This window comes from Homo sapiens, chromosome 17 (assembly GCF_000001405.40).
Source record: "Homo sapiens chromosome 17, GRCh38.p14 Primary Assembly".
Taxonomy (NCBI): Eukaryota; Metazoa; Chordata; class Mammalia; order Primates; family Hominidae; genus Homo; species Homo sapiens.
Window position 1 is genome coordinate 64,021,017 of NC_000017.11, and position 6,260 is coordinate 64,027,276.

Below are 6,260 nucleotides of genomic sequence, written 5' to 3' on the forward strand. Positions count from 1 at the left end.
TCCTCGGCCTCCTAAAGTGCTAGGATTACAGGCAAGAGCCACTGCGTCCAGCCAATTTTTTGTTGTGTTGTTTTTAAGACAGAGTCTTGCTTTTGTCACCTAGGCTGGAGTGCAGTGGCACAATCACAGTTCGTGGCAACCTCTGACCCCTGAGCTCAAGTGACCCTCCCTCCTCAACTTCCCAAGTGACTGGGACTACAAGTGTGCAGCCACCAGGCTTGGCTAATTTCTGTAGTTTTTGTAGAGACAGAGTGTTGCTTATGTTGCCCAGCCTGGTCTCAAACTCTTGAGCTCAAGCAATCCTCCCACCTCAGCCTCCCAAATGCTGGGAATGAGCCACCGTGCTAGGCCCATTTTAATTATGTTTAAGTGTACAGTTTGGGGCACTAAGTACATTCACATTGTTCTGCAACCATCACCACCATCCATCTCTGGAGCTCTCTCTTTCTCTTTTCTTTCTTTTTTTTTTTTTGAGATGGAGTTTCGCTCTGTTGCCCAGGCTGGAGTGCAGTGGTGTGATCTTGGCTCACTGTAACCTCTGCCTCCCAGGTTCAAACGATTCTCTTGCCTCAGTGTTTTTGTTGTTGTTGTTGTTGTTTGTTTGTTTGTTTGTTTTGTAGAGATGGAGCCTCACTCTGTCGCCCAGGCTGGAGTGCTGGAGTGCAGTGGTGTGATCTCGGCTCACTGCAACCTCCGCCTCCCGAGTTCAAGCAATTCTCCTGCCTCAGCCTCCTGAGTAGCTGGGACTACAGGTGCACGCCACCACGCCTGGTTAATTTCTTTTGTATTTTAGCAGAGATGGGGTTTCACCATGTTGCCTAGGCTGGTCTCAAACTCTTGAGCTCAGGCAATCCGCCCGCCTTGGCCTCCCAAAGTGTTGGGATTACAGGCATGAGCCACCGTGCCTGGCCTTGCCTCAGCCTCTTGAGTAGCTGGGATTACAGGCACGTGCCGACTGGCTAATTTTTGTATTTTTAGTAGAGATGGGGTTTCATCATGTCGGCCAGGCTGGTCTCGAACTCCTGACCTCAAATGATCCGCCCACCTCAGCCTCCCAAAGTGCTGGTATTACAGGCATGAACCACCACGCTTGGCCAGAACTGCCTTCCTTTTGAAGGCTGAGCAATATCCTATTGTGCGTGTGTGCCGCATTCTGTTCATGCATTCATATACTGATGGACACCTGTGTTGCTTCCACCTTTGGCTATTGTGAATAGTGCTGCTACAAACAGGGTTGTACAAATACCTGCTCAAGACTCTGCTTTCAGTTCTCTGGGGTATGTACCCAGAAGTGGAAATGCTGGATCATAATGGTAAAATATACACAACAAAATCTACCATCTTAACCTTTTTTCTTTTTTTTTTTTAGTGGTAATTCTGACTGGGCTTGGTGGCTCACACTTGTAAATCCGGCACTTTGGGAGGCTGAGGTGGGAGGATTGCTTGAGTCTAGGACTTCAAGACCAGCCTGGGTGACAAAGTGAGACCCCATCGCTACAAAAAAAAAAAAAAGTAATTTTGTTTAATTTTTGAAGATTTGCCATCCTGTTTTCCTTACTCCTCCCTTTGATGTGCAGTTTCTGTACTCACTGGGGCCTTCTGTGAATGAGGCAGTTCCAGGACAAGCTACCTTCTGGTCCCCCAAGTGAGGCAGGCGAAGATCACAGAGCTGAGGCTTCCTTGGCTGTGACACACCATTCCAAAAAAGCCTCTTATTAGTGACTAAGACCTATCACTTCATCAAATCTTATCAGACCTGCCACCTTGCCTAGCAATTTTACAACAATTACTCTAGAAGAGTGACTTTGTACAAACAAGCAGAAAGTATGAACACTGGGTGCAGAGGTGGGTGGCGGGCAGCCAGCTAGGCTCACCCACGAGCAGAGGATCTTGCTCCCACGGGCCAGCCTCACAGCACATTGAAACTTCTGGCTTAGCAAAGTCACAAATTAGACCATTCAGAGGCCAGGAGGACAGTCAAGGCCACACATTGCTCTGGCGCAATTTCTCTTGGTGCTTGTGTGCATCAATTTCTTCAGCTCAGTTCTTTTTGGAATCTCCTTGTCATACTGCTGGCAAAACAGAGCCAATATAAAATGACTATGGTGGGAAGGAGGCAGCAGGGCCCAGAGCTTTGAAGGGCCCACGTGACTTTAATGTTTTGGTGGCATCTGTCATAGACACAAATGGGGGTGGATGTCCCATTTGGGACAATTTCTCCAGGAGCCATGTTTGGACTCACCCTTTTTTAAAGATAACCCCTTCTTTTTCTACTTTAGACAAGTTTTTTGGGAAGCTTCCATCTTCCTACTCAGCTCCACCTTCCTGGTCAAATGATTGGTCCAAGGTTGGCATCATGGTACCTCACCTTCTGGCTCTTTCTTTTTTTTATCCTTTTTTTTTCCTTTCTTTTTGAGACAGAGTCTTGCTCTATCGCCCAGGCTGGAGGACAGTGATGGTGTGATCTCAGCTCACTGCAACCTCTGCCTCCCAGGTTCAAGGGATTCTCCTGCCTCAACCTCCTGAGTAGATGGGATTACAGGCATCTGCCACCATGTCCACCTAATTTTTGTATTTTTAGTAGAGACGGGGTTTCACCATATTGGCCAGGCTGGTCTTGAACTCTTGACCTCAAGTGATCTGCCTGCCTCGGCCTTCCAAAGTGCTGGGATTACAGGAGTGAGCCACTGTGCCTGGCCAGAACTGCCTTCCTTTTGAAGGCTGAGTAATATTTTATTGTGCGTGTGTGCTGCATTCTGTTCATCCATTCATATATTGAGGGACACCTGTGTTGCTTCCACCTTTGGCTATTGTGAATAGTGCTGCTATCAACAGGGTTGTACAAATACCTGATCGAGACTCTGCTTTCAATTCTCTGGGGCATGTACCCAGAAGTGGAAATGCTGGATCATACTGGTAAAATATACACAACAAAATTTACCATCTTAACCTTTTTTCTTTTTTTCAGTGGTAATTCTGGCTGAGGTGAGTGGCTCACACCTGTAAATCCAGCACTTTGGGAGGCTGAGATGGGAGAATTGCTTGAGCCTAGGACTTCAAGACCAGTCTGGGTGACAAAGTGAGACCCCGTTTCTACAAAAAAAAAAAATTAAAAAGGTAATTTTGTTTAATTTTTGAGGATTCACCATCTTGTTTTCCTTACTCCTCCCTTTGATGTGCAGTTTCTGTACTCAATGGGGTCTTCTGTGAATGAGGCAGTTCCAAGACAAGCTGCCTTCTGGTCCCCCAAGTGAGGCAGGCGAAGATCACAGAGCTGAGCCTTCGCTGGCTGTGACACGCCACTCCACAAAAGCCTCTTATTAGCGACTAAGAGCCATTACGTCATCAAATCTTATCAGACCTGCCACCTTGCCTAGCAATTTTACAACAATTACTCTAGAAGAATGACTTTGTACAAACAAGCAGAAAGTATGAACGCTGGCCATCTATGCAAGTTTTAACAATCCAGGTGCTAGATCCACCCAGAACTTGCAGATTACCCTGTGTACCCACTTCGTGAGCTGCACACACAGTCCTGCTGTTCTGTTGTGTAGCCAGAGTTGAGACCCCTTTACGTACTTCCTCAGGCAACATTTGGGCCAAATCCCACTCTGGAAACCTCCTCCCTCAACTTTGTGGCCTCTGAGCAGATCACTTTCCATTTCCATTTATTTCTTTTTCTTCTTTGCTTGGTTTCTGGCACATTCCTCTTTGAACTGCCAAGATCATGCTAGGTAAATGTTTATTGAATGTAAGCTAGCAGCTTGGTTTTAGGAGACACATATTTTATAGCAAGGGGTTTCAAACTTGAACGTGTGTCAGGATCACTGGGGGGCTTGCCGCAACAGCCCACCGGGCCCCATCCCTAGAGTTCCTGAGTAGTAGGTCTGGAGGGAGGCCTGAGAATTTTTTGCATTTCTAACAGGTTCCCAGGTAATGACGCTGCTGCTGGCATCAGTATCACCCGGGAACTTCTTAGAAATGAGGACCACACTGTTTCAGCGGAATACGAAAGTGTTCTCAATTCACATAGCGTCCAGCTAATCAAAACCACAAGTAGAAACTAGAGGTGTCACCAGCCTATAGACTGACTAACAGAGACTGTGAGCTCAGTCTGGCAGAGTGGAATTATAAGGCTGTGTGACCTTGAGCAAGTTGTGTAACCTCTCTGACCTTCAGTTTGCTTATCTGCAAAATGGGATAATAATAATAGCCAACGTTTGTGACATGCTTACTACATATGCCACACACTGTTCTAAGCACTCCACAGTAAGTATCATCACATTTCATCCTCATAACAAGCCTATGACTCGATACTGTTGTTATGCCTCTTACAGATGAAGAACGTGAGACATGGTACAGTAGATGGCGGGCAGTAGCTGGCACACAGCCAGCAAGAGGCTGAACCAAGATTCCAATCCAGGCAGTTGGGACCCAACGTCTGAGCTTTCATACTAGGGAGCCCCTCTCACCCCCTTCAGACCCCCCCTCAAGGGCTTCTGAGAGGAAAGTGTGATGATTTGTAAAACGCTGGCTGATAGCCTGGTACACGGAAGCACTCAACAAAGTTTGTGGTTATTGTGAGTTGGTGCCCGGACGTGCACCTATCTGTGTCCTTGTAGGCTGTGCCCAAGGACATCCCAGCACGTGTGTTGACTATTGCACAGATCCACAGAATATCAGACCCCAAAATCATGCCCGTTGGACAGGAGGGGGCTGTCCATATTATGTAATGTGTTAATTCTTGGGTCCTTGGATGGGACAAGGTTGTGAATATGCATCACTTAGAAAACTTATCAGCGAGCGAGGAATGGAGTTGTTTACAAAACCAAGCCCTTGACGTCTTCCTGGACCTCAACCTCATCTCATCAGCTCCCCCTACGGAGTGGGGCGGAGGCGGCGGAAACGCTGAACGCTCAGGGTCGACAGGAGCAGGGGCTGCACTGCCCGCCACCTAGTGGCCAAAGTGAGCAGGTCCCCTAAAAGACACGACGCCCCGCGATCTGCGGTAAATCACATTCCTTGCGATTCTGCAATCACAGGTAGATTTGGAATGGGCTAGGATCCCCTGAGAGACTGTTTATAAGGAGGGCGGTCTATGTAGATGCACTAATTTGAGGGAGGGAGAGCGTGGGAGGGTCTCTGCGGAGGAGAGATGCTTTCTCTCTGGAAACCCTGGACGTGAAGGCACCTGCCAGCTGCCATTTTTCTTGCTCTAAGCTTTTCTGCAAAGGAGGGAATAAAACTGAGATGCTTTACTAGGAACTCAGGTGGGAAAATAAACAGTTTCCTTAGGAAAGATGCCAGAGGCAGGGAGCAGAGGCAAAATCCAAGAGAGAGATGAGGTTGTTTTTTGTTTTTGTTTTTGTTCGTTTTAAATCAATTTGGGCCGGGCGCGGTGGCTCACGCCTGTAATCCCAGCACTTTGGGAGGCCGAGGCGGGCAGATCACAAGGTCAGGAGTCTGAGATCAGCTTGGCCAATATGGTGAAACCCCGTCTCTACTAAAACTACAAATATATATACATATCTATATGTACATACATATATATACACACACATATATATACATATACACACACATATATATACATATATATACACATATATATACACACACATATATATATACATATACACACACATATATATACATATATATACACACATATATATACACATATATATATACACATATATATACACACACACACATATATATATATATATTAGCCAGGCGTGGTGGCACGCACCTGTAGTCCCAGCTACTCGGGAGGCTGAGGCAGAAGAATCACTTGAACCCAGGAGGCGGAGGATGCAGTGAGCCGAGATCGCCCCGCTGCACTGCAGCCTGAGCCACAGAACGGGACTCCGTCTAAAAAAATAAATAAAAAACAAATATTTCCCCACTCTGCCACATCGAGAGGCCGGCATGGTTCACCCGTGGGAGGGGAGGAGCAGGTGTGCTAAGCAGTAGCTGTGGTTTTAAAATGTTTTTCTTTTCACCATCATCCTTCTTTATCCCTCAGTTTCTTCCCTCTGCAGCCCCGGAAGAAGGAGGTGGGCCGTTCTCGCATTGCTGTAAAGGAATACCTCAGACTGGGTAATTTATAAAGGAAGAGGATTCATTGGCTCACAGTTCTGCAGGCTGTACAGGAAGCGTAGCAGCATCTGCTTCTTGGAAGGCCTCAGGAAGCTCCCGATCATGGCAGAAGGCAAAGAGGGAGCAGATGCATCACACGGCGAAAGCAGGAGCAACAG

General features: G+C 47.0%; 4 annotated features.

Moving 5' to 3' along the window:
• Positions 7 to 56: an enhancer, noted in NCBI's record as "active region_12573". NCBI's record gives its function as "activates an Ori minimal core promoter by ATAC-STARR-seq in GM12878 lymphoblastoid cells {active_cell/tissue: GM12878}" and the evidence as "EXISTENCE:reporter gene assay evidence [ECO:0000049][PMID:35858748]".
• Positions 3,150 to 3,587: a transcriptional cis regulatory region, noted in NCBI's record as "candidate enhancer chr17.4314 targeted for multiplex CRISPR interference". NCBI's record gives its function as "positively regulates ICAM2 gene expression with high confidence in K562 cells {active_cell/tissue: K562}" and the evidence as "EXISTENCE:mutant phenotype evidence [ECO:0000015][PMID:30612741]".
• Positions 4,689 to 5,134: a transcriptional cis regulatory region, noted in NCBI's record as "candidate enhancer chr17.4315 targeted for multiplex CRISPR interference". NCBI's record gives its function as "positively regulates ICAM2 gene expression with high confidence in K562 cells {active_cell/tissue: K562}" and the evidence as "EXISTENCE:mutant phenotype evidence [ECO:0000015][PMID:30612741]".
• Positions 4,732 to 4,781: an enhancer, noted in NCBI's record as "active region_12574". NCBI's record gives its function as "activates an Ori minimal core promoter by ATAC-STARR-seq in GM12878 lymphoblastoid cells {active_cell/tissue: GM12878}" and the evidence as "EXISTENCE:reporter gene assay evidence [ECO:0000049][PMID:35858748]".